The following is a 27,983-nucleotide window of genomic DNA, read 5'->3' on the forward strand; positions in this document are numbered from 1 at the left end:
CTGGGCAAAATGTTAAGGCTTTTGATTGACATCTGGAAAGGTTTTATTACCCACTGACAGTGAGAGTGAGGGGTTGCCCTCCCCTCTTCCTTCCTTTTCCCTCTTCCCTTCCACCCATTTGATGGTACACCATTGAGCAGCATCCAGCAAACAGTGTTGGTGGCTCCCCTCGTTATCTGCAGCACGCAGACTCCCTGTGTCCAGCAAACAGCGTTGCAGCACCCCTCAGTGTCTGCAGCACGCAGACTCCCTGTGACCCAGCTTCCTAGGCTGGCTGGTGGTGTTTGGAGAGGAAATCAAGAACGTGTGGGGAAGCCCGTGGAGAATTTTAGAGACTTCCCATGACACACGAGGCAGTGGGAGTGGGGCTGGAGAGAGACTGTTAGTTATTCCAGGGAGAGAGGCCTTTTCTGATTGTCCCACTCACCAGCACACTGAGGGGCTGGGCCGCTGACCTGATGGGTTGGGGACCAGAGCCCTGGCTTATGTGCAGTTGTTTCTTTTGAACATGTCTTATTTTGCTGGTGATCTGGCAAGTAGGTTGAAACCAAGCCCTCCCCCAGTTCCTCAACCGCCTGGGACTGCACAGGTGCCTGGGAGTCTGATGGCTGGCAGGCTGCCTTTTGAAGCTTGGCCTGGTGTCCCGGAGCTGTTGGTTGCCCTAGGAATCCAAGGAAAAGCTGCTGAATTCTGCGGCCCCAGGAGGATCTTTGTCCTCCTTTTGCAGAAGCAATAGGTGGATTTGCTCTGTTGAGCTGGAAGGAGGAATTTTTAGATTTCCTCTGGCTGAAGAAGTTAAAATGGAACCATCTACATCAATTCCCCGCAATTGGACTTTGAAGCAAGCTTTCGGAAGAACGGACTTGACTATTTTCTATGCGTGGAAGCAAATTCCTTGGGAACTTCTGGTGAATTTTAAAGTGCTTGTCTATTTTGTTTCATTCTCCAATACTGAGAAGTCTTTAATAACTAGAGGCTGCCTGGGTAGGTCAAGGTCTGAGGGGCAGCACTCCCCACCAGAGCTAGTCATTAAATAGATCTGCCATCTGTAGTTTTTGTTTTGCATTTTGAGATGGAGGTGTTGCTATGTTGTCTCTAGGCTGGACTTGAACTCTTGGGCTCAGGCAATCCTCCCGCCTCAGTCTCCTGAGTAGCTGGGACTACAGGTACATGCCACCGCACCTGGCTTGATATCTCTGTTTTAAAAATGCTGTCTTCTAGCAATTATCTTGTATCTCTGGAGGAGAAAGGTGCCATTTTTCTGGCAGTGGAATTTGGGGCTGAGAAGGACCCTGGCTCCATCAATGGGGGCTGGCGTCTAACATGCTAGATTTTAAGATCCTTTAAATATTTTTTCTGATTATGAAATTAAAATGTACTAATTATAAGGGCTCGAACTTTACAGAAATGCATCATGTAGAATAGAAAATGAAAGCTTCCCCCCAAGTTTCACCACTGCCCCATTCAGTGCCCACAAGGATAATCATTATTCACAATTTGGTGGAGACTCCTCCCATTTTTTTTTTCTGTCTGTGGAAATATTTTACTTGTCTTTTACACAAATACATGTTTTAAAAGTATTTTTCAACAAAATGAGATCCTATTGTAAATAAGATTTGCAGTTCGATCCCCCAGCCGTGTGTCTTAGCCATGATCCCTTGTCCGTTGTGCATAGCAGCATTATTCTTTTTTAAAAAAAATTTACTTTAAGTTCTGGAATACACCTGCAGAATGTATGATAGACTAGATAAAGAAAGTGTGGCACATATACACCATGGAATACTATGCAGCCATAAGAAAGAATGAGTTCATGTCCTTTGGAGGGACTTGGATAAAGCTGGAAGCAGCATTATTCTCTCTGACACTTGCACAATATGTGACCGTTTACTTATTGAACTTTTGGGTTGTTACCATTTTTCTCACTTATGGAAAATGCTGACATGTGGAGTCTCGTACATTAAACTCTTGTGTCTGCATGGGGTTGTTTCCGTAGCATAGGTTCCTAGAAGTGGACTTGCTGGGCTGAATGGTTTGGGCATTCAGAGTGTCAACAGATATTGCCAAGTTGCTCTCTGGACAGGTGGTGACCATTTTAAATGATGCTGGTGTGTGGGGCAGCGGTGTCCCCACTGACACTCTCTGGACATCGACACTCTCTGGACATGATCAGTCTTTGTGGTTTCATTCAGTCATGTGGGTATAAAGTGATAGCTTATTTCATTTTGTATTTGTAAAAATTGTGAATGACAACAAGCTGCTTCTTGTGTGCTTAATACTAATTTGAATTTCTCCTTCTAATTCTCTTTTTCATCCTTGCCTCTTTTCCTCTTGACTTGTGAAGGTTTTTTTTGTTGTTGATTTATAGGTGTTCTTGGTACATAGGGTTATTCCTCATTTGCTATATATATTGCAGATATTTTTTTCTCAGATGCCACTTGTCCTTTGATTTTATTTAAAGACATATTTGGCAATGCAAAAATTTGGAAGTTTTACATTGTTAAATCTATCAAGCTTGCTTTATTTACCCTGAGTTTTGTATCTTACTTAGAGAAAGGGTTTCTCTACCCTAATATATATAAGCACCCTCCTGCATGTTCTGCTAATACTTGATAGTCCAGATTTTTCTACATTTACATCTCTTATTCAATCTAAAATGTATTTTAGATGTAGTGTGAGTTGGGGATGTAGTTTTTTTATAGGAGTATTCAGTTTTCCAGCCTAATTTCCTAGTCAGCCACTTTGACCTCTCTCTTTTGGCAGATTTGTCATGGGTTAAGTTGCTGCTGTGTTCTGAGTGTTTCTCCTGTGTTTCTGGATTCTCCATTCTAATTTACTGCTTTATTCTTGTGCCGATATCTACCGTACAAGTTACTGTGGCTTTTGGTAAGACTTTGTTATCTTAAAGGGCCATTACCTCTTCATTCCTCTTCTTTTTTCATTTTCCCCCTAACCTTTCTTCTATATTCCTTTGACTAGAATCATCCTTTCAGCAGGAGCCAGGCAGAGCAGCTGTCCGTGGGCTCCCCAGTTGGCCAGAGCTGTTGGCCAGGATGTGGAAGGAATCAGGCGGGAGCCCCCAGCGGGATGGTCATTGCGGTGTCTCTGCACCTAAGTGATTTGTTTTTGCAGACATCAATGCTCAGGATTGATCAACCTCAGGATCAATGCTTGGGAAGTGTAGAGCTTGCGTCCCATCATAGATATGACTCCGAATCTGTGGGGACTCTCCCTGGGCTGACTCATAAAATGAATGGGCACCTGAGCCACTCTGTGTGATGCTGAAAACCAGGAGCGCTTGGGCGACCCTTTCAGCCATAAAGTCTGCCTTTCCCCAGGGGAGTGGCTGCTGCTGGTGTATTTTCTATTTGAACCAACTTAAAGGGGCCTGCCCAAGTTTCAGAAAGAAACTCAGGTTCTTGACATATACAGGGGGAACCCTTTCGTTTCTAAAATCTGTTTAAAAACCTTAATGTTATTTAAAAATCCACTTTACCATTGGTGAAAATATCCTCTTACGCATTTGCAGTGCACCTCTGTCCTCTGTGAAGTACCCCGTGAGTGCAGGCCTGTGCCCGTGACCTGGCTGGACCCTGGGGTTTTCCCGAGCCGTTGTCCCTGAGCTGTTTGTGGTGTAGACAGGCAGCCCTGTGGGCCTGGATAAGAGGTTTTGCATGCTCCTTACAGTTCAAAGCAGGCGTGGGCCATCTTCCCTGACTCCTGCCTTGTCCTCCAATAGTAAGTCACGCCCCTGTCACTCCCTGATGGAGCCACTCCACTGAGGTTATTGTTGTTTTTGTTTGTTTTGTTTTCTTGTTTTTTTTTTTTTGAGACAGAGTCTTGCTCTGTCGCCCAGGCTGGAGTACAGTGGCGCAATCTCGGCTCACTGCAAGCTCCGCCTCCCAGGTTCACGCCATTCTCCTGCCTCAGCCTCCCAAGTACCTGGGACTACAGGCGCCCGCCACCATGCCCAGCTAATTTTTTGTATTTTTAGTGGAGATGGGGTTTCACCATGTTAGCCAGATGGTCTCGATCTCCTGACCTCGTGATCCACCCGCCTCCGCCTGTCAAAGTGCTGGGATTACAGGCGTGAGCCACTGCACCAGGCCCACTGAGGTTATTGTTGATTTTACACTGGGGCTTTTCTTTGGGATACCTCAGGCTCCTGGTTATGCAATAGAGGAAACATTCTGAGAGAATCGGCTGGTGAGATGCCTGACACCGCTCTCCTGGCATCTGACATCAAGGATATCTTAATATTTCTAGTTTTTAAAAATTGTGATAAATAACACATAACATGACATTTACCACCTGAAATACTTTTAAGTATATGATTCTATGGCATTAAATACACTCAGTGTTGTGCAACCATCACCGTCATCCATCTCCAGAACTTTCTTCATCTTGCAATCTGAAATTCTGTGTCCATTAAACACTAACTCCTCCTTCCACCTCCCCCAGCCCCCGGCAGCCACCATTTTACTTCCTTTTTTTTTTTTTTTTTTGAGACACTGTCTTGCTCTGTTGCCCAGGCTGGAGTGCAGTGGTGCAATCTCGGCTCACAGCAAGCTCCGCCTGCTAGGTTCACGCCATTCTCCTACCTCAGCCTCCCAAGTAGCTGGGGCTACAGGCGCCCGCCACCATGCCTGGCTAATTTTTTTTTTGTATTTTTAGTAGAGATGGGGTTTCACCGTGTTAGCCAGGATGGTCTCAATCTCCTGACCTCGTGATCCGCCCGCCTCGGCCTCCCAAAGTGCTGGGATTACAGGCTTGAGCCACCGCGCCCAGCAACCACCATTCTACATTCTGTCTCTGTGAATTTGACGATTCCAGGTGCCGCATGTGAGTGGAATCATACAATCATTTATCTTTTTCCAACTGGCTTCTTTCACTTCGCGTGACGCCCTCAAGGCCCATCTGTGTTGTAGCATGCGTCAGAACTTCCTTCCTTCTTAGGGCTGACTACTGCCCCCATTGTATGGATAGACCATGTTTTGTTTGTGGTTCATCCCTCAGACATCGAGAATATCTCACACAGTAGAAAGAATCCAAGAAGCCAATGAGGACTTGATCTTGGTCGCCTCTGTGAGGGTTGGGTGGACAGGCCAAAGCTACCTACTCATCCTGCATCGAGCTGGATGCTGGGCACAGGTGCTGGGCACAGGTGCTGGGCACAGAGGATGCAAACTGGAGCAGGAGCCAGTTCCTGCCCCCAAAGTGCAGCAGCAACATGCCACGTTAGTGCCAGCCTATCCGGGGCTTTGTAAAGCTAAGAAAAGAGCCTGTATCCATCCTGAAGGCCGTGTGACCACAGGGCTTCTAAAGGATGCTTCTGTGTTCCCAGAGTTAGGTGGAAGCTCTTAGAAGGATCTCTTTTATCCCAGTGCTCTTGCTAAGAATGGAAAGCCCCTCTGCGTGACTGCAGTAGCTGGTGCGATCCTCTGGTCACTTGTACCAGAGCCGGGGAGGTCGTGGCTTGCAAAACTCACCTCTCATAATGGGATGCCAATAAATATTATCCGAAGTTGGTATACCCAGAAAGAGAGTTTAAACATTATTTAGAGAGGTGGAAAACAGCCACCGGTAGAATTAAAATCAGAAATAATGACAAGGATGGCCAGCGGAGTGGGGAAGTCCAGATTGGGGAATGTGATGTTTCATTATAAGCACTTTCAGCATTTGCTTACTTTGGTCTGAGTAAAAGAATTGTCTCCTTTTTTTAGGGCCATGTACAGCAAAGGACTGACCATCTGTCAGACATGCTGGTCAGTTTTCCTGGCAAAGCAGGGTTGGAGGTTTCTGTCCTCAGGTGGGTGGGCAGGGACGGCAGCTTGCCGTAAGGTATCCAACAGCACCAGGGGCAGGAAATGAAAAGTGCTCAGTGATTGGTGGGATAATGGTATCTAGCACAATGATTCCTGCCAAAATCTTAATGGTGTGCAATAAATGAAAATGCTGCCCCAGTCAGATGGGACCAGCATTTTTCAGCAACTTTCAAGGTCTTGTGTCACAGGAATGAAGATCCGAGTATTTCCCACCCATGGAGGGGGTGGTGAAGGAGTTTTCAGTCCTGGGCACCCTGGGCTGTGCCGAAAGTCTCTGCGTCACACCGCCTGGGTTAGTTGGGAAAGAGAGCTCCCACCGTTCTCTTTTAACCCTTGTCCTTTTGTACCACAGCAATTGCTTTCCTGGAGATCAGAACCATGTCTGGGCTTAACATCATCTTTGGAAATCCTAAAAGGCAATGAAGAGATTTTTCTCTTTTCATTTCTTTTTGATACAGCCGTGTCAGTTTGAAATTTTATTTTCATATCAGTTCTAATAGTGTGTCTGCTTGACATAGTTTCTGTTAAATGGGCTTGATATGAAGTTATTTAAAAATTCAAATATTTAGAGTTTCAGGGCCCATCGTCTTGATTTTTGGGGCAGTACCTCAATTTCATACGGTGTTATTCTTTTCCAGAGAGATGGGTCACTGAATAATTTACATTTTATGGTTGTTTTGTGAGAAACTATTTCTGGTTATAAATAGTAAACATCTTCTAGGTTTTGCAGTAAGAAATAATGGATTTTGTTAGAAAAAAGAACCATAAGAAGATGTGATTTTAATTTTGACTATTTTGACTTCCTGTAAGTACCTTCTGGAGCAGAAGGTTTTCTCTTCGTGGATTCTGCATCTTGGATTTGGGGACTCTGTTGCACTGAGCTGTGCTCTGTGGGGAGGAGCCTGTGGCAGAACAGTTTGGGTTCTGCTGGCCACCTTTCACTCTATTCAGTGAGGCTGGGTCCCAGAGAAAGATGACAGCGGTTAGGTCTTGTTGGGAAGAAAACTCGGCTACCAACCCTGGACCATTTTGCTTCCCCTGAACAAATAAGATAGTCATTTGCCTGCTTTTGGGGACGGAGCCTGTGGTTTGCACAGGGTGAACGAGGTGGCAGCTGGCTTGCCTGCTGGCCTGCTTCGTGGAGATAAGATGCTCAGACCCACCGCTGCTCTTCAGGGGTTGTGGAGGGAATTAATGCACTTCCTTTTGTCCCCCAATCTCATTTACATGTCTCTGGAGCTGAGCATGTGTTCTTTTTCTTTGTTCATCTCAATAGAGCTTTTAAATTAAATAGATGTTGCTTAAGCCATTCAGAAATGTTTCACATTTTAAAAAACAAAAGGTAGTTGCTGCCATGATTCCTTTGCCACCCCTACACCGTGGCCTTGTAGGACAGTCCCCCCTTGGCTGTGCTGAGCCCATCTGGAAGTGTTTCTGATTCTAATCAGAAGTGGAACAGTTTCAGTGCAGATTATAGGTTTATGTTAGCTTTAGTGATGGAGGGATGGAAATAGATGCTTCCTCGCTATTACCATTCCAAGTAAAATAATGAGGCTGCATATTTGCAGTGAGCTGCTGAAGCCAGACGTCACTAGAGTAATTTGGATTAGTGGGAAGTTGGAACATATTGTTTTAAAAGCGATTTCAAGAGCATCATCTTCGGAAATCCTATATAGCAATGAAGTGATTTTTTTTCACTTTTTCATTTTTATTTATGTTGCTGTATCTGTTTGAATTTTTAGTTTCATATCAGTTCCCTCTAATAGCATACGTGCTTGAGATATTTTGACTTCTATTAAATGGGCTTAATATGAAATTATATTAAATAATTTTTATTGCTATTTGGAAGGCCAGGAAGTGTTTCCAGTTTTCATATTTTGGGTCATGGAGATGCTACTTCCCATCCATTTTGTGACATGTAAGAGTCAGGCCATTTCAAGGAAGGGCCAGAGGAGAGACTTTGTGTTTCTGGGAATATACTATGGATTAGGACATGTGGGTTATTCAAAGATCTATCCTTTTGTGCTTTGAAATCTGAAATGTAGAAACTGTGGCCTCACTGAGGAGGAGTTTTAGAATATGCAAGGGAGATGATCAGGACTGGATCTTGTATTTGGGTACCACATCCAGTCCCAGACAGCATTGCTAAGGCAAGGAGCTCATAAAAGCCCCAAGCTCTAGCTGTTGGCTACTTATCTCCTGGAGCATCAGGGTGAGCGCGGTTCAGGCTGGGGAGTCCTGATGGCTGCCTGGTTGTTACAGGATGTTACAGCTTAGGCCTGGGGACATAGCCCAGCACCCTCCAGAGGTTGTGTCTGTTCTTTACTCTTCAGGTTCCCTGGAGGCAGGAGAGGAGCTGGCCTCATTTCTGGCAGGCACCCCACTACTGTTATTGAGCAATCCTCCAGGCTGCAGAGATGTCAGAGGAGGACCCTAATGTCTCCTGATTTTGATTATTTTGTTCTTTTTCCCTAGGTGTTTTACTTGCAGATACCTTGAGTACCTTGTTTGTATATTCACTTTGAAAGCACACATTTAAATGTTTATAAGGAAAAGGTTCTAAAGACATCCATTGATCCATTCATTCATCATTCAGCAAATACCTGTTGAATACCTGCTGTGTGCTAGGCACTGCGGTGGGCGAGCCAGAGGGCTTTGTTGCTCCAAGGAGCTTGCATTCTAGTATTCTAGTTATTTTCACGCATCTGCACTATCTGGGACAGGGACCATTGCGTTTTGTCGTATATAAAGCAGCATGTGTCTGCACTACAGTTTGTGTCCGTCGCAGATGGGCAAGGATTGAGTGCAAAAACTTCTGGGCCAAAAGGGGTTGGCTTGGGTCAGGCTGCTCAGTAGCTGAGGTGAAAGCATGTGCCACCCCTCCTGATACAGGGATCCTTGCTGATTGTGTGTGACACCAGGGCCTTCCCATCTGTCAGCTGGGTTTGTCCTCACAGTAGCTCGAGGAGCAGGCGGGGCAGCATCTGGAGGCCTGGTGCCCTTTCACACCTTGCTGCGACCACCAGGCTGCTCAGCAGTGGCCCGTGCCCACCACTGCACCTGCCGCCTTGTTCCAGCTCCGGGACCTGTCAGGCCACAGTACTACCTCCTGTCCCTTCCCCCAGGATCCTAGGGTCTCTGACTTCAATCCTCTGGGCCCAGGTTTGCAAGCCACTCCCTGGGAAGCTGTCCTGGGATCTGTGCCTGTCTACTTCCTGTAGTCCACCACCAGGAGGTAGAAAGGGACAGTCTGCTGACCTCCAGTCTTTCCACAGCAGTGTCTGAATGGATTCAGGAAATCCTTGGCGGTGCCCCAGGATGTGCTGGTGCTGGCTTAGGGGTTGGTGCCATAGCAGCACATGAGACAAGGGGAGCCCCCACTTGTGGGTCTCACCGTCTTTAGAACGTTAGCACTTATTTAAATTAAAAAAAATTCTACTAGTTGTAGCTTACAGTCACCGAGTTTCTTTCATTGTATTCGGTGACTTTGAAGCCAGTTTGGTAGATTCTATTTCATGAATAGTCCTTGCTCTGGTCTGACATCTGGGTCAGTGAGTAGCTTCGGCCCCTCCCTAGAGCCTCCTGTCCTGGGCTGCAGTGACAGGCTGCGGGCCAGTGGGGTACACTCACGCACACCCCTCTAGGAACACTGGGGCCCTGGATAATTATGCCAACTGCAGGCTATTTCTCCCTCCAAGTGGAAGTCCTTGAGGTGAAACATTGGGTTTTTAAAAAATATTTTAGTCTTCTATTGTGTCTAGTCTGAAAATGACTTATTTGCTTTTTAATTCTGCGAACATGTTTCCTAATGGAAGGGTCAGAAATGTTCTCCTTGCACTTTCCATTGGTGCTGCAGTTGAGAGAGGAGAGGGGAGTGGTCAGGCTCCCCCTGCTCATCCCAGGGGCCCTCACAGGGGCTGCTTTGCGGTGTAGACCTTGGGGAAGCAGCTCACCTCCGAGCCTGGTGTATGAGAGCATAATGGTATTAGGTGACTTTTGAAGGGAAAGCAGGTTTTGGAAGAAGATCTGTATATACAAAAATACTGTCTATTTGACCTTCATCTATGAAGGATTCAGAATTGCAGAAGTTTGAAGGATGGCTGGGGGTTTGGGGCCATCTTGCACATGGCTTCCTTTTGGAGTGCCTTTGTTCTTCTGTGACGCCCATGGGGCCTGAGAGTGCGGCTGGATATTCCACCCAGATTGCAGCTCAGGTGGCTGTGCTACAAGCTGCTCCTCCTCCCGTGCAGTGCATGTCCCGGGTCCTGCTGCCCCGCTCAGCTGCACAGCCCATAAGGGACTGGTCCTGCCCGCGCACCCCGGACCTCCCCTGCCCAGGAAAAGTTACAGAAAATATCTTCCCCAGGATTCCTGGGCTGCACGACCCTGATCAGCCCCTTTGTGAGAGCTGCTTTGGGTGGAGATGGGGACACAGCTCGTTCTTTCCTCCTGGACTCTTCGTGCATTCAGGGTTCTGAGCTGATGGGGGCCTGGCCACTCGCCAACTGAGCCTGGCCTTGGCTGAGGTCGTCATCGCTGTGTGTCCCGGGCTGCCGGCCTGCCTGTTATCTGCAGTGCACAGGTGTGCATGTGTGTGCATAATACACACCACACACATACCATGCCCACCTCACACACACCACACGCATACCCCATACACGCCACACACATATCATACCCACCTCACACACACCACACACACCACACACATACCATGCCTACCTCACACACACCACACACATACCCCATATACACCACACACCACAAACATACCATACCCACCTCACACACACCACACACTTAACCCATATATACCACACACATACCCATACACACCACACACCACATACATACCCCATATATACCACACACCACACACATAGCGCATACACACCACATACCACACATACCCCATATATACCACACACCACACACATAGCCCATACACACCACACACCACACACATACCCCATATACACCACACACCACACACCATACACATATCCCATACACACCAAACACATGCCACACATACCACACACACCTCACACACACCATGCCCACCTCACACACCACACATTCACCCTATACACACCACACACATACCATACACACCGTATACATACCACACACACCACATAATACCATACATACACACCCCATACACACCACACCCCTCCATACATACCACACACCACACACACCCCATAGACACCATACACACATCACACCATACTCTATATACATATCACAGCACCCATACCACACACCGCATTCCACACAGACATCTTATACACACCACACACACTATACACATACCACACAATAGCATATATACACACACCATGCACATCCCATACACACCACACACCCCATACATACCATATACCACACACACTACACCATGCACACAAAACACACACACTCAACTCTTCCACACTACATTACACTCCACACACACACCACACACACAACACATTCACATCACACACACCACATACCACACACCATACATAGCACACACCACACACCACACCCTCCAGGACACCCCCCACCATACACACATGCACCACACACCCACACCATACTACACAGTTACCACATACACACCACACACTCACTACCCACCACATCACATACTCTGTATCTGACGCACACAGCACACACCCCCGCCACACACATTTGCACGTAAACTACTCATCGAATGAAACTGAATGATTGTTTTCCCCAAATTAATACTGCCCCCGCCTGCGCACCCCCGGCTGTCCTGGCCGGCACATTCCCTGGTCCTGCCCTCCTTTGGGTCAGCACCGCCTCCTGTGTTTTGGGTGTCTCTGGCTGTGCCCTGGGGCGTGCTTACGTCCTGGTCTTGTGGGAGGCTGGCTCCTCTGCTCCCGTGGGTGCCTTCCTGGGGGAGACCAGCCTGTTCGCCACCTCTCCTGATGCCCAGAGTGGCGGCCCGTTTGGGAAGTCCTGCTTCCTCCCCTTGCAGTCTACCCTTCCCCACAGGTCGTTTTGTCTCAGTGCCGACATCTCCCCAGCTAGAAGAGGAGACCTTCAAAGGCACACAGGTGGGTTTGATTATATTGCTGCTGAATATTAGATGCATTTTGGTGAAACACTCAACCAGTACACATATCTTTAATAAAGTAAAATGTCCAGGCCCCCTCTGCTCCCACCTGTCTCCCTCTCCCACCTCTCTCCCCGCTCCCCTCCCCAGAGGACATGGCTGACAAGCCTTTGAGGGGTTTCCCCTTTCTGTGTGCCTTTGCACGTGTGTATGGGCTGGGCAGTGTGTGTATTCTCTAGCCATCTTGACGGACCTGTAACTGGGATCTACACACGTGTGCTCGCTGTAGCTCACTTACCATTTTCCCTCAAAAACAGGCCTGTAAGATCCCTCACTGTAGTGCGCGTTGCCCTGCCTCTTTAAAAACGCCGTTGACTCTTCCAGCACGTGAACTCTGTCGTCATTTATTTAACCATTCTCTTATTTATGGGTACTTAGGTTTCCAGTTTTTTAAAAGATTGCGGCAATGAAAATCTTCAGACATCATTTTTTATACATGTGAGTCCTCCTGGAAATGGAATTTTTGGGCACAAGGATATGCCTATTTAAATTTTCGATAGAGAATGCTGAATTGCCTTTCTGAAAGGCTTCATTCTAAAGAAATACACTTCTCAAAAAAAGGGAAAGCTAGCAAAAAAGCAATTCTCTGCCAACAGCTGAATAGAGAGAGGGGGACTCTCTGAGGCCATGAGGTGGGAAATGTGGCAGCCTGGGAGAAGCCAGGGACCCGGGCAAAGGGTGGCATGGTTACTAACGTTTCCTTTCCTGTTTCCATCCTCCCTGCCCTCCCTCCAAACCCCCAGGAAAGCAGTACTGGGGAAAGACGGTAAATAACTAAAATCCTGAGAATTCTCATGAACACTCCTCAATTTGGAGAGAGAGGGACTGTGATGAGGGGGGTTGAGATGGTACCCAGAGCCTGATGGCCCTCACCAGCTTCAGGAGAAACCTGCTCCCCTCCAGGGCTCCTTCCTAGGGTCCGGCTTGCACTGCATTCTGGGAGAATCCTGTAGCCCCATCTTCCCTTTACCCATTGGCCGTTTAATGGTATCCCATTCTCACATTTAGCCTTTTGAATGAATCAACCACCATATTAAAAAATTAATAGATTTAATTTTTTTTTCAGCAGTTTTAGGTTTATGGAGAAATTGAGCAGAAAGTTTAGGGAGTTCTCCTGTACACCCTCACCCCATTTCCCCTGTTTCCTCATTATTAACATCTTACATTGGTGTGGTACATTCGTTACCATTGATGGGGCAGTATTATTATTAACTGGAGCCCATAGTTAAAACATATTGGGGTTCACTCTTCATGTTGTATATTTTATGAGTTTTGACAAATGGGGAATGACTCAGCTACCATGTCTTTGTTTTAGTAGATCGTTAGTTGCTTTTTGTCTTATTAGCTGACTCTTGTTTTGAGGAGAACTTTTTGTCACATCCTTTTGCACCCCGGCTTACTGTGGCGTGGGGCAGGGGTACTGGGGGCCAGCTGGTCTCTGGGGAGCAGCACTCACTGCATCCTGCCCCCGCCCCATTCTGCTCCTTTCTGGTCTCAGCAGCCTCCCTTGCTCCTTTCACCTGCCTACCCCAGCTCAGCTGCCTGCTGCTTAGATGCCACTGTGGGGCAAGGAAGCTGCCCCCAGTCGGTCCCCGAGGATTCTGCCCAGATAGGGATAAGAATCACCGCGAGTGTTTGCTGAGCACTTGGGAGGCATAGGCTCGGCGGGAAGGGAAGGCCTGCAGGCTGAGGTGGTCTGCTTTGAGTTTTGCAGCGTTGCCTGCGGTCTCCGTGGGTGAGGGAAAAGGCACAGGGAGGTGCAGAAGCGTTCCTGGCGCCACGGAGCCGGTCAGTGACAGAGCCGGGTCTCAACCCAGGCCACTGCCCTCGGCAGCCAAGCCCCTTCTTTATTTTGGAATGGCCACCTGGCCAACTGGCACACAGGGAGAACTCATGAAAGGAGGCGTGGCTCACTCCTGAAGGGAGAGGGACACAGGAGCAGCCTTGATGCGCAACGCCCCCTCCAGGCCCCGAGTCCCTGTCCTTGGAGGAAGCAGGACTCCCAGGTGGGAGAGGTGAAGCAGATGGCTTCCCCCACTGCAAGGAGGAATCCCGGTGCTCTTCTCCACCAGCCTTCCCTTTGGTCGCCCCCTGGCGTCCGCGTCATTGTGGGAACACTCGGGCGGGATGTATTTTAAAGGAGTGCCTGATGCGTGTGGGTGTGGTGGGGTTGGGGGTGGGGGTGGGGCTGGGGGTGGTTGCAGCGGGGCCTATGCAGGATCCCGGTTGGAGGGGGCTGCAGAGGCTACTGCTGGGCCTGGTGTCGCCATGGCAGCTGGAGAGCGGGCGACCGGTCGCTTGGCGTCCTGCTTGGGGTTGTTGCCCACATCACCGAGCGAACGTTCCTGTCCCGCCCACTCACTGCGAGGCTGGGCAGGGCCGCTTGCCAGTTAATTGTGGGGATTATTATTTTTTTTTTTTTGTAGACGGAGTCGCGCTCTGTCTCCCAGGCTGGAGTGCAGTGGCGCTATCTTGGCTCACTGCAAGCTCCGCCTCCAGGGTTCACGCCATTCTCCTGCCTCAGCCTCCGGAGTAGCTGGGACTACAGGCGCCCGCCACCACGCCCGGCTAATTTTTTGCGTTTTTTAGTAGAAACGAGGTTTCACCATGTTAGCAAAGATGGTCTCAATCTCCTGACCTCGTGATCCGCCCACCTAGGCCTCCCAAAATGTTGGGATTACAGGCGTGAGCCACTGCGCCCGGCCGGTTGTGGGGATTATCTGAGAGTTGCTGGAGTGTTCTGCACTTCCTTGCGAACCTTTTACCTGGGTGGGCAGGGGGAGAGGCCGAGTCAAGGGAAGGAGGCAGGATGCCACACACGCCCTGCAGGGAGAGTCATCTGCTGGGCACTGCGACACACAGAAAGCCAGGAGCCTGAGCCCCGCCCGCGGTTGTTGAACGGAGGGAGAATGAACAACCGCTGACTTCCTGGTTCCTGGGTGCCGCATCACTGCCCCTCTGCTCCGGGTCAAACCGGCTGTATGCTTAGCTTCAGGAACATGTGGCAGGTGGCAGCCCCCGGCCCCGTGGCAGGTAACGGTGGTTTTGCAGTGTGGCGTGCTGTGGGGGCCGGCAGGGGCACAGCTGGGCAGGCCAGGCTTTCTCTGGCTCAGTATGCAGGGCTGGTTCTTCCCAGAGGAGGCAGAGGTCAGGGAGGAGCTCTTTCCCTGTGTCTCCTGAACAGCTTCATCAGCACACCCTGCAGCGGGGACTCAGTGAGCATCCTGCAGCTGTCTTGTCCCAGAAGGGCTGTGTACTTTTGGCCCTGAGGGCAACCTCTGCATTTCCTTTCTGGGGGCTCCCAGATGAGCCCCGCTCCCCCAGGTCATCCTGATCCATATTGATGTGATAACCCCCTCCTCAGTCCGAAACATCTGGAGGCCCCGTTTGTCCGTGGGATAAGAATGGGCTTGAGCATGGCTGTGGGTGCTCCGTGTGGCGACAGTGGCATGTTCTGTGGCAGCTTGCTTCCTCTGTAGCCCGATGTCTTTGACTCCCAGCCCGATGCTCCCTCCTCACCCAGCAGAGGCCCCTCCTCGGCCTTTGCATTTGCTTTCATTTATCTTCCTTCTTTAAGGCTGCTTTTGAGGGTTTACTGGCCAGCAGCATCATGTGCAGTCTATAAACTGTGTGCCCTCTCGGGGCCAGGTAGGAGCCTGAGAGGGAATGGGAGAAGTGGTCACGAATGATTGTGAGGACTGCAGAAAGAAGACAGGGCTGAGAAGAGTGTGATTTCCCCTAGAATTCAGAGATGCCTGCACCAGCTGGGTTTTGAAGAATGAATAGGAGTTTGCCAGGAAGATTCTAGAGGAACAACAGCAACAAAAAGATTTAAACATGGGCACAGAAGAGGTGAGGCACAGATGGCACAGGGATTTGGGGTGTGATGGGGCAAGGAAGCCATGGGCAGGGTCTAGGCCCAGGACCTCAGGTGCTTTGCATGCCATGACTTGGAGGCAATGGCCTTGTCATGCAGAACTGTGCCTCCCTGGGCCCCATTAGAGTCCCTGGCTCTTGGTGTGCCTTTCATGCCCACACCACGGTAGGAGCAGGCAGGTGGGGTTTGGCCTGGGTTTCCCCAAAATGGACACTACTCCTTCTTGTGCTTCAGTATCAGAGTGGGCCCGTGGAGTGGGAATAAATGTTTGGGTTTAGGAGGCCTCCAGCTGGGTGGCCTGCTCCCAGGCAGGAAACACAGATTAGAGGAAGTATCAAGTTGGAAGGCAGCAGCCGTGGATGTTAAAGCTGGAGGAACCTCTTAAGGAATGGCTGTCAGCTCCCTCGTTTGGTGTGGTAGGAAGATGAGGGTGAGAGGGGTTGGGAGCAGGTGCTGGAGCTGGAGCCTGAACCCCCATATCTCAGTGCTGCCATCATCCTTCATAATAAGGAAACTGAGGCACAGGCAGGTTACATAGTCTTCTCAGGATGTCAGTGGCAGAGCTAGGACGTCTATCTCTGCAGCTCAGTTCTGTGCGAAGTCCAGGCAGATGGTGCTGATCAGTAAGGGGTGCTGGCTGAGCGCTGATGGCCACCTGCATCTCAAGGAGAAACAGTGTCACTGGCTAATCTGATGGCTTCTCTGGGCACCAGCACGTGGGCACCATCACCCTTTCTCTGCAGGGGGTTTGTTTAGTGTATTTGGTAGAACATCCCCCAGCCTACTAGGTGTGGCATGCTCTATGCCACAAGCTCTGTATCTCAGGCAGCATTTTGTACTTTGAAAAAACAAGTTGGGAACAGAACCCTGATGAATGTGTTTCATTTCCTGTCAGAGCAAATGAAACCTGAAATATTAATGGCACGAGATTTCCCTTATCTTCCTACAAAATCTTCCTACATTGAAAAATGTACTCCCCACAAGCTTAGCATGCAGCTCTGCTACCTGTGGCCCGAAATCATTAGTTGTCCATACTCACTGACCTTTGGAAATAAACACGAAGGTTCACTTGAAGACTTGGGGGAGAATCACGGTCAACTTGTGACGCTTGGTTTTTCAGATATTCAGCTGCTCTGGAGAGCCTTGGAGTTCCAGCTGCTCTAGAGGTTCTGGGGAGGGAGCTGTTAGCCTCCCATATGAGCGTGTGGCCCATCGTTGCCATCCACACCTGCCCCTCTGTGGGTGAATAAGTGGTTTCCTTTCTCAGCTGGTTGACGCTTCATTTGTTTGTGTTCTTTTTCTTTACAGTCTCCTGAATATTTACGCGTTGCTGAATCTCCTGTGGACAAACCACCAATAGGCCAGGACTGTCCTGTGGACAGACGGGGTGAGCCTCTTCTTGTGTCTGGAGATTCTGAGTGAGTAGAACCCGTTATGATCCCCACTGCACTTAATGTGGCATTCATGAATGAGTCTGGGCTGATGTGCTAATTGGGGGCCGTAAGAAGAGTTATAGCCACGATGGCCCTCACCTTTCTCTAATAAAAGCTTAAACACAGCTACGGTAAATATTTTTGCTTTCTGCTTTCACAAACTTCACATACGCTTACATTTATTTTGAGGCGAAAGGGGAAGAACAGACATTTACAGGGGACCAGTTGCTAGGAGAAGACTGTGCATTCCCTGTAACCCTGTCAGTCTCACCTCGGAGATCCTGTCCCTGGAGTGCCCCAGGTCCCTTTTCCCAGCTGCACTGAGTGCCTCTGTCCTCCTGGTGGAGCTGTGCTGCTTTCTTGGGCAGCCTCCCTTCCCCATGGGGTGCACATAGGCTGGGGGCATCCCGGTGGTCAGTTCTTCCCAGGGACCCAGGAGGAGGGGCTGGCAGAAAGTGGGCAGGTTCTTTCCGCTCGACCTGGCAATAACAATTCCTAAATTGCTCAGCACCCCAGGCTGCTTGCCTTGACCCAGGTAGCCAGTCCCAGGCACCACCAGTGTGGGCAGGGCCCTCCCCAGGGGCAGCAGCAGGGCAGCCCAAGACACTGGTGGCCACCACAGTTAGTCCCCACAAGGCGATTGTGCAGGACATGTTCTCGAGCTGCCTGCAGGGTCTGGTTGTGGGAGCAGCTCAGCCCCTCCTGCAGAGGTGGGAGCATCTTCTACAGCCAGCCATTGTCCCGCAGGAGCTCTGTGCCCAGTGGAATATCTCAGTGCAGTGCACAATGGGGCCACAGCTGTGTCACAGCCATGCTCTGTCCTTTAGTGGGCCGTCTGAGCCACATTCCACCTGCCTGTTCTGACACACTGCTCTCCCTCGATGACCCTGCTCCCACTGGCCTCCCCATGGTTTCGATCTGTAACCCAGACCCTGTTCCCAGGAGCTGGCTCAGCACCATCCTGCTCCACACCCTCTCTCAGGAGACATCCTAACCTGCCCAGCCTGTCCTGTTCCTGCCTCTCAACCCAGAACACTGCAGGTCCTTCAGGTATTCGGTGAGACCTTAGAAGCAGGCACAGCAGGATTTATCCCACATGCACCATGCACCGTGCTGAGGAAGCCACGGTCACTCCCCTAATGGTCACTAGAGGTGAGAGAACTGAGGTTGTTGCCCATGTGGTAGAACTGGAATTCAGGGCCTCAGCCACACCTCAGTCACCACACCACGCCCTGTGCAGGACGCTGGGGAAACCAGGCAGCTAGGACTGGCCTGTGCCTTGGAATGCTTACTCAGACCACCCATCCTTGTCCCCTTTGCACCTCAAAGGCTTGGTCTACTTTTCAGACACAGTTTTTATATTGTCAGCCTGATACATATGCATATTTTAAGATGTCAAAGAGTTTTATAAGTTTTATGAAAAAAATAGCAGACCCCTGGCCTCCCAGACCATCTCCCCACCGCCCCTGCCCTGCCCACTCCCCATAGATTACCACTTCCAGCTCTTATTGCTTCTTCCTCTGGATTTATCTCCACATTTGTAAAGAATATGGGCACGCTGCTATTTCTTAGTCTTCTGTTGTGGTCAAGATGGTTGAACTCGTAGATTTCCCTCCTGAGAGCTGCTCCATCTAACCCTAACCCTAACTCTGATATATAGAGTTATGTCATCATTTAGGTGAACCCTTATGCAGTGTGTATCAGTCAGGATAGGCTGCCTCATGATGCAGGAACAAGCATCCCCAGACCTGAGAGAGTTCCGTTTCTCTAGCCTCCTGCCCTGGGGGTGGGTGCTGAGTCTGGGGGAGGTGTGGGGTGGGGGGAGGGGCCTCAGCGCTCAGCAGACAGGTGCTCACTGGTGTCACCATGTTCCCTGCCCTCTTCTCATATGGAACACGTGGTGCCCTTTTGCCAGGGCATCCCTGCTCAGGGGTCAGGATAGTCCTCCTCTGAGTGGCTGGGAGTCTGACTGCTCCCTGTTTAGACTATTGAGTAGCCCCCTGCTTTCTGCCTCACTCCCTTTTTGTGCTGGTGTCTCAGTGCTTGGGCCTTTTGGGGTTTTAGAGGTGGGCCGTGAGGCTGGGCATGAAAAGGCTTCTCTGCCTCCACCGCCCCCCCGGGGCTCCTCATCCCTGTGCTGCCTCAGCACTTCGTCTGGCAAGATTTGCAGGTGCAGTTTTCATTTCTCATTCTTTGTTGGTTTTGAGTGATTTCAAGAGAAGATGCAGAAAGGCTGTGACCCCACCTCTAAAAGCCAGCGGTCAACCTGGCCACCCTTAAGCCTGTTCTAGTGGGCCCCCTGCCCCGTTGCCCTGCTGTGACAGTGTCCCACGAGGACAGACTCAACACAGGACTTCAGTCCTTGCCTTCCCGAGTGCTGGCAGCCCTGGTGCTGTTGCTTTCCCTCTCCCCTCCTTGTTCTCAACCTCAGGAGGAAAATGCCCAGTTTCTCATGATGAGATATGATGTCATCTGTAGGTTTTTTTTTTAAAAAAGTGGGTAAAATTCATATAACATTAGCCATTAACCAGTTGAAAGTGTGTAATTCAGTAACATGTAGTGCATTTGCAGTGTTGGGCACCCACTATCTGTGTCTAGTTCCAACAAGTTTTCTTCATCCCAGAGAGGAACTCTCCATTAAGCAGTCACTCCCCAGCCTCCCTACCCCAGTCTCTGGCAACCCCAATCTGCTTTCTGTCTCCATGGACTTACATATTCTGAATGTTTCCCATAAATTAGACATCATATAATTTGTGACCTTTTCTTTCTGGCTTCTTTGGCTTAGCATGAAGTTTATGTGGATGACCCATGTTGCAACATGTGTCAGAACTTCAGTCCTTTCTAAGGCTGAACAATATTGCATTCTGCAGATACACCACATTTGTTTGTGCCTTCATTTGATGGGCGTTTGGGTAGTTTCCACCTTTTGACTGTCAGGAATAATGCAGCTGTGAGTGTGTGTGGATAGTGTTAGATTCGGTATCTGTTTTCAACTCTTTTGTGTATGTATTTAGGAGTGGAATTGTTGCGTTCTGTGGTGACTCTGTTTCACTTTTCCAGGAACTGCCAAACTGTTTTCCACCACAGCTGCACCGTTTTACATTCCCGCCAGCACTGAATGAGGATTCTCATTTTCCCCCATCCTAGCCAACACTTGTTAGTTTCTGTTTTTTGTTTCTTTGTTTCATGATGGCCAGTCTATGGGTGGGAAGTGGGGTCTGACTGTTTATTGGCATTTCCTGAATAGGTTTTTTGGTAGATGTTCTTTATCAAGCTGAAGATGGTCTCTGCCTCATTTAGTGAGTGGTTTTTAATCAGAAATGGTTGTTGGATTTTTGTCAGATGCTTTTTCTGCATCAATTGATCTGATCATATGATTTTGTCTCTTTAGTCTGTTGATGTGGTAGATTATATCCATTGATTTTTCTAATGTTGAACCAACATTGCAGCCTTGGAAAAAATACCACTTGGTTGTAGTGTATAATTCTTTTTAAACGTTGTTAGATTTGATTTGCTAATAATTTGTTGTGGATTTTTAAGTTGTTTGCTCCTGAGAGGCAGTGGTATGTCATTTTCTTATAATTTCTTTGGTTTTGATGTTAGGATAATTCCAGCTTCATAAAGTGAGGAAGTGTTTCTTCTTTTCCAATTTCTGGAATAGGTTGTAAAGAATTGGTGTAATTTCTCCCTTAAATGTTTGGTAGAATTCACCAGTGAAATCTATCTTCCTTTTACTGATTTTTAGTTTAATTCTATTGTAGTCTGAGAACATATTTTTATGATTTCTATTTTTAAAATACTTGTTAAGGTGTACTTCATAGCTCAGAATGTGGTCTATCTTTGTGAATGTTCTGTGCAAGCTTGAGAAGAATGTGTATTTTGCTGTAGTTGGATGGAATATTCTATAAATGTCAATTCTGTTGAGTTGATTTATGATGCTATTCAAGTGAACTGTCCTTGTTGATTTTCTGTCTGCTTGTTCTATCAATTACTGACAGGTCTTGAAGTCTCCACTTATAATAGTGGATTTACCAATTTCTCATTTAGAATTAAAATTCTCTCAGATTTTGCCCCATATATTTCAATTATCTGTTGTTAGGTGCATAGCCTTTAAGGATTGTAACATCCTCTTAAAAATTGATTTTTCTCTCATTATGTAATGTCGCCTCTTTATCCCTGATAATTTTCCTTGGTTGGTAGTCTGCTTTGTCTGAAATTAATAATGGTACTCCAACTTACTTTGATTAGAGTTAGCATGGTATACCTTTCTCTATCCCTTTACTTTTAACCTACCAGTGTCTCTGCATTTAAAGTAGATATCTTGTAGATAGCATAGAGTTGAGACTTGTGTTTTTTATCCACTCTGAAAATCTCTGTTTCAATGGGTGTGTTTTGATCATTCACATTTAAATGATTATTGAGGTACTTAGATTAATATCAAACTTTTTAGTAACTGTCTTCTGTACTTGCCAGAGACTTCTTTTTCTCTCTCCTCTGGTTTCAATGGACCATTTTATGTGATGCCATTTTATCTCCTTTCATAGTGTATCACTCATACTTCTTTTTAAAAGTTTTACAATATATGTTTACAATATGTATTTCAAAATAATCTAAGCCCACCTTCAAATAACACTATACCTCCTCCCATTTAGTACAACTACCTTATAACAGAATACTCCCAAATCCTCCTTCCTGTCCCTTGTGACATTGCTGTTAATTATTTCAATTATCCATATGTCATAATCATACAGTATATCGTTACCATTATTGCAGTAAATAAATTTATTTTTATATCAAATAAGAGTAAGGAAAATAGAAAATTTTATTTCACTGTCATTTATTCCTTTTTGAATACCTCTTTTTTATGTAGATCCAAGTTTTCAACCTATATAATTTTTCTTCTGTATGAAGAAAAATCTTTTAACGTTTATTTCAGGGTATATATTGCCAGTAATGAATTCCCTTGGTTTTGTTTGCCTGATAAACTATTTCTCCTTCATTTTTGAAGGATACTTTTTCTGAACATAGAATGCTAGGTTGGTGGTTTCTTCTTTCAAAATTTTAAGGATTTCACTCCACTCTCTCTCTCTCTCTTTTTTTTTTTTTTTTTGAGACAGAGTCTCGCTCTGTTGCCCAGGCTGGAGTGCAGTGGTGCTATCTCGGCTCACTGCAAGCTCTGCCTCCCGGGTTCATGCCATTCTCCTGCCTCAGCCTCCTGAGTAGCTGAGATTACAGGCGCCAGCCACCATGCCTGGCTAATTTTTGTATTTTTAGCAGAGATGGGGTTTTACCATGTTGTCCGTGGCTGGTCTCGAACTCCTGACCTCAAATCATCTGCCTGCCTCAGCCTCCCCAAGTGCTGGGATTACAGACGTGAGCCACCGCACCTGGCCTATCCACCCTCTTCTTCCTTTACTGGTTTCTGATGAGAAGTGGGCTGTAATTCTTATCTTTACCCCTCTATAGATAAGGTGTTTCCCTACCCCGCTGGTCATTTGCCTTAGTCATTTTCTCTGTCTTTGGTTTTCTGTAGTTCAAATATGGTGTGCCTAGGTGTAGGGTATTTTGCTTTTTGTTTTTTTTTTGTTTTGTTTTGTTCTTAGTATTTACTCTATTTGGTGTTCTTTGAGCCTCCATGGTCTGTGGCTTGGATCTGTCATTAATTTTGAAAATATTTTGGCCATCATTACCTCAAATGATTTTCTTCTCCATTGTCTCTTTTGTTCCCTTTTGGTATTCCAGTTACACGTGTAACATCTTTGATGTTGTTCCACAGTTCTTGGATACTTTGTTCTGTTCCCCTCCCCAACCCATTATTATTATTTTTTTATTTTTATTTTTTTGTAGAGGTGGGACTTTGCCATGTTGCCCAGGCTGATCTTCAACTTGTGAGCTCAGGTGATCCCCCCGCCTCAGCCTCCCAAAGTGCTGGGATTACAGGCATGAGCCGCTGTGCCCGGTCTTCCCACCATTCTTTGTGTGCATGTGTGTTTCATTTTGAGAAGTTCTTGTTGACCTGTCTTCAGGCTGATTATTTTCAGCCATGTTGATGAGCCCGTCAAAGGCATTCTTCATTTCTGTTAATAGGTTCCTTTTGGGCTGGGCGCGGTGGCTCACACCTGTAATCCCAGCACTTTGGGAGGCCGAGGCGGGCGGATCACCTGAGGTCGGGTGTTTGAGACCAATCTGACCAACATGGAGAAACCCCTGTCTCTATTAAAAATACAAAATTAGCCAGGCGTGATGGCGGGCACCTGTAGTCCCAGCTACTCGAGAGGCTGGGGCAGGAGAATGACGTGAACCTGGGAGGCGGAACTTGCAGTGAGCCGAGATCACTCCACTGTACTCCAGCCTGGGCAACAGAGCGAGACTCCATCTAAAAAAAAAAAAAAAAAGAAACATGTTGTCCTTTTTGTCTTCTAGCATGCCTTGTAAGTTATTTGAAGCTAGATATGATGTATAGGGTGATGGGAACTGAGGTAAACAGGCCTTTAACGTGAGGTTTTCTGTTAATCTGGCTATGGGCTACGTGTAATGTTTGTTGTAGCTGTGAGTGCCGGCGTATTCCGATCCTTGCAGTGCCCTTGTTTTTGTCCTCTGGCTCTGGGCTTCCCTAAATTCCCTTCCTCAGACAGAGTGAGTGTCGTGCAGCTCTCCCAGCTTTCACCTGCTGTTGTACACTGGAGTCCTGTTGGTGTAGTTGTAGGGTGTGGGGAGGGCCAGCGGTCTATAGTCTTCTGATTACATCTCAGTCTTTCTGTGGTCCCATTTCCCTGGGCTGTGACTGTCACAGATGTTTCTTCTTATATAGCTTTTCCAGACCCCAAACAGGAGGCCAGAGGGGGCTGGACTCAGGAATGCCCTTCCTCCGTGGCTTTGCAACAAGGTTCTGGTAAAGTCTTTCCCTGCGGGGAGCAGGCCTTTGTCCTAGAGAAGGCTCTGGATGCATTTCACCAGGATGACGTTTGTCCTCCCTCTGCCAGAGTCACCAGGAGATGTCTCTTGGGTTTTCATGGTGAGAACCTAGTAGGGATCCTGGAGGAAAAGCCCATGAAAGTTTTGGGCCCCCCTAAGACTGTGGCTTCTAGGAGTTTCTCAGTCATGGGAGTCCACCCTTGGCCTGCAGCAATTTGTCAGAATTACCCAAACTACTGTGGTATGGCCCTGGAGGCTCTGTTCCAGGTCAGTGGATCTTTGGATTTGGCTGTGTCTCTAGATTTCAGGGGGGCGGGTTGCAAACTCAATTCACTGATGAGTCCAAAGAAGGTCATTGATTTTCAGTTTGTGCACCATTTTCTAGTCATGAGGATGGGAGTGATGACTTCCAAGTTCTTTACGTGTTGGAGCGGAAACTCCAATCCTTCCCCTGCTTTGATTTTCCTGTTACCCTAACCGGGAATCATGTTTGTTATTTGATGGTTTACTCAGTTGTCATCTGTCTTCCTAATTAGGACATAAGCTCCAGGGAACTGGAGTGTCAGTGTTCCCTTGCGTCCTTGCACCCACAAGACAGCCTGGCACATTCTGAATGAATACACCGAAAGGGATAAATAACGAGGCCAAGCCACCTGGCTATGGGTGGCTGCTAATCCGTAGGATTTCTCGTGCCTTGTGGTTTCAGTGAATTTGCGACACACATGAGTGATGCTGCCAATGGGAGGCTCCCAGATGTCCTCAACAAATAGAGGAGTGACCACTCAGATCCAAGGGTGTAGCACTTCCCGCCTATCACTGGGAGCTGATGGGCTGTCTTTAGCATGGCACTTTGTATGGTGCTGGCGCCCAGGCTTCCCTGGGGCAACAGCGTTGGCCCAGGCGACACACAAGAAGAAGGGGGTTTTTCTGTGGTCACTTCCGCGTTGCTAGTTGTTTTGCCCTCTTACTGTGGCTAAACCTTCTGTCCATACCTGTCCCCCATTCTCAGTATTTGGCTTTTCGGATTGCAGTAGTGGGACTTGGGTGCACATTGCAATAAACCAATTTGCCCCCATTATCCATGTCTTGTTGATGGTCCCACTGCCAGCATCAGTTCTTATGAACAGATTTCTAAACCATCACCATCTGTTCTGCTCTTAATTTCAAGTGTAAAAAGTATTACTTTCCTAATTCCGTCAAGGGGAGGGAGAATATGTATTCCTAAAGACCACAGTTCTTGTATGAGGAAGTGTAGATCTGCCACCCACCTACTAAAGGAAAGGTTGCTTCTGCCCATCCTCAAAGCTGTTGAGCAGTTATTTACCTAGAGGGTAAAACTGGCCCATTCGCATCTCTATAAAAACAGGTAGGAAAAGGTGGAAGGAGCTGAGTTGGGGAGGTGGAAGGGGGGCAAAAGCTATGTCTCCCGTCCCTCCCTGACAGTGCAGCCCCCCAACCCTCCAGCCCCCGCCAGTATAGGTGGGAATGGGCTGGCAGGGCTGCATTGTGGTGGTCCCTGCTGCTGCTAGGGCTGTTTCCAGAAGAAGGCCCAGTTTCAGGCTTGACTTCCCCTCAGAAGTCATAAGGACCATAAGGTCCATCTGGGTGGGCGCTGAGCTCTCCACGATGGGAGCAGGATAGACATGAGCATCTTCACCCTCGTGGTCCCTCTGAGCCTGCCCTGGGGGTGAGCTCTTTTTCTGCTCAAATGAACATTCCAGGCAGGCCCTGGAGCTTTCTGTCGTTCTAAGGCAATAGAAGGTTCTTTGGTTACTTTCAGTCCCAGGAACATTGTTGGTCAGTCATGAAAAGGAGTAATTATAGACTCTTTGGAGCTTCTCCCACCCGGCTGGAGCCTGACCTGTCTTGGAGCCGGCTGGGGAGGGAGGGCTGTGTGTCTCCTTCTTTCTTTCTTTGCCTCTGTTTTTGCTGGCCAGGGAGTGTTCCGAGGGATGGAGTGTCTGGGGAGAGGGCATTCTCTCCACAAGTGGGCTGGGTGGCACTTCTGGGGTCCAGCAGATGTTTCACTTGGACTTCCTGTCTCCAGTGACCCTCGGGTAGGTTTCTTAGAGATGACCCTGCTGGGAACTTGCAGCTCTTCCCTGCGACCTGTGGGAGGCCTTGCTGGGCTGATGCCCTTGACTGCTCTCCCTATCCTCCACCATGCCCCTCGGGAGTGCTCCTGGGCTGTTCCTTCAAGGCGGCCCCAGGCTGGCCCCACACTGGTGGGAGCAGCAGGCAGCTCCTCCTTGGGCAGCTCCTCCTCTTCCCCTGTGAGGCAGCTCTGGTCATGGCCTCCTGCCTCTGGATTCTCAGGAAACTCGGGTGCCGCGTCCGCAGACATTGGGGACTCGGTACAGCTATCCTAGGGGTCTGCTAGAAGCCCTGTTTGGGAATCATGGTGAAGCCACCTCCCCAGCCCCCTCCATGAGGCACAGCCCTTCACGGAAAGTCCCTGCTCCTCTTCTGGTACCCCGTAGGCCAGAAACCATGCTGGGGTGGGGAGCTGGGAGCATCTGTTGATGTGGGATGCAGGCGTGCTTGTCACCTCTCCTGGCCCTCAGGGCAGCAGGACAGCTTACATGAACATCTCATCCCGCTGCTGGTGGCCTCTGGTGAGAGACTACTCCAGTCGGTCCCCCTGTAGCTCCTGGATCTTAGCGGGGGCCTGGGAATGGGAGGCCACAAGGAGGTTCCAGAGCTAACTAAAGCCGCTGAGACTCAGAGGGAGTCTCACGCCACTGCCTCCTGTGCCCCCATCCCCTAGCAAAGTGGGACTGATGAGGGATGACCTTGCGTCCTTCTCCCCTGTTCACTGGGACCTGGTGCTGTTGCCACCGTGGGCCCAAACATCCACTGCCCTTTTAGCAAGGCAGCGCTGCTCCATAGGGTCCAGCCGGGGAAGCATCTGGCTTTGCACAGGTGGAAGATCATGACTATTTCCAGAGTCTGTTGCCAGGCTCCATGTAGTTCAGGAGTTGTTTCTCCCTCTGAGAGTCCAAAGTGGTTGTTTTCCGGAGTTTGGCAGTACCTAAGGGTTAATTGGGATGTTATTGTCTGCATTTGGCTTAGAGATAGGAAAGTTTTATGTTTATTCAAATTATCAGTAATTTAAAATTACAATTTTAGTCTTAATTGTACGTATTTGGAGATCCCATTTAAGTCTTTGGAAATAATTGCAGAGTAATATTTTGGGAAGTTATATTACAATGCACAGACGTTCAAGTGGAGAAAGGTCCCTGCGTGTGAGCCTTGGCCTGGCAGAGGGGCATCCAGGACAGGATCTACAGCACACAGCCCTCCCAACTGGGTCTGGGCATGGCTGCAGCTGAGTCTAGCCCTCCTTTCTGTGCTGCTGCATCCCAGGGGATACGGCCACACAGGCCACAGTTGCCTAGACCGACCTGGTGTCAGGATCACTGTCTCTGCTTTGGTAAGATGTCCTTGGGAGGGGAAGGGAGCCAGCCAATGAGATGAGGGGTAGGAGGGTGACAGGGTGGAGCAGACCCTCATGCTGGCAGAAGAGAGGTTCACATTCACCAGGGAGCAGGTTTTTCTGAACCCTGGAGAGCTGAGGGGGGCACCTGGAGCACCCCTGCAGTCCACAGCATGGGGTGCTGGCTTCTGTACTGTAGTGCAGTGCCATGAGGTACCCATCCCTTGCAGTGGGGTAGGGTTTAAAACCCAGAAGGCAGCCCTCCCTGGAGCACAGCCCCATGGTGTTTAGAGACCCTCTCCTCTGAGCACATGCAGGATGTGACAATGCAGGTGGGCCTAGTGCTGCAGTCTCAGAGACACCCATGGGC

At 48.6% G+C, this 27,983-nt stretch overlaps 1 protein-coding gene across 29 annotated transcripts in view, besides 3 other annotated features; it reads left to right on the top strand.

The window, feature by feature from the left end:
• The window catches only part of APBA2 (amyloid beta precursor protein binding family A member 2), a 232,342-nt gene that overhangs the window by 18,529 nt on the left and 185,830 nt on the right, over window positions 1-27,983 (top strand). For 10 of the 29 annotated variants that reach the window (NM_001379685.1, XM_011521489.3, XM_047432416.1 and 7 more), the window contains one exon: window positions 17,138-17,247. The gene's annotated coding sequence lies outside the window, so the exon portion shown is untranslated. Of the gene's footprint in view, window positions 1-14,922; window positions 14,986-15,694; window positions 15,805-17,134; window positions 17,394-27,983 lie in introns of those variants that run through there. The other 19 variants (XM_011521490.3, XM_047432425.1, XM_024449909.2 and 16 more) reach the window with 7 other exon arrangements.
• Window positions 13,616-14,138: an enhancer, noted in NCBI's record as "H3K27ac-H3K4me1 hESC enhancer chr15:29210321-29210843 (GRCh37/hg19 assembly coordinates)". NCBI's record gives its function as "activates a minimal SCP1, AML or CMV promoter by ChIP-STARR-seq in primed H9 embryonic stem cells {active_cell/tissue: H9 hESC(primed)}" and the evidence as "EXISTENCE:reporter gene assay evidence [ECO:0000049][PMID:30033119]".
• Window positions 13,804-14,098: a silencer, noted in NCBI's record as "tiled region #8321; K562 Repressive non-DNase unmatched - State 12:CtcfO". NCBI's record gives its function as "represses a minimal TATA promoter and a strong SV40 promoter by Sharpr-MPRA in K562 cells {active_cell/tissue: K562}" and the evidence as "EXISTENCE:reporter gene assay evidence [ECO:0000049][PMID:27701403]".
• Window positions 14,306-14,895: an enhancer, noted in NCBI's record as "H3K4me1 hESC enhancer chr15:29211011-29211600 (GRCh37/hg19 assembly coordinates)". NCBI's record gives its function as "activates a minimal SCP1, AML or CMV promoter by ChIP-STARR-seq in naive H9 embryonic stem cells {active_cell/tissue: H9 hESC(naive)}" and the evidence as "EXISTENCE:reporter gene assay evidence [ECO:0000049][PMID:30033119]".

The sequence above is a fragment of the Homo sapiens genome, chromosome 15 (assembly GCF_000001405.40).
Source record: "Homo sapiens chromosome 15, GRCh38.p14 Primary Assembly".
Lineage (NCBI taxonomy): Eukaryota > Metazoa > Chordata > Mammalia > Primates > Hominidae > Homo > Homo sapiens.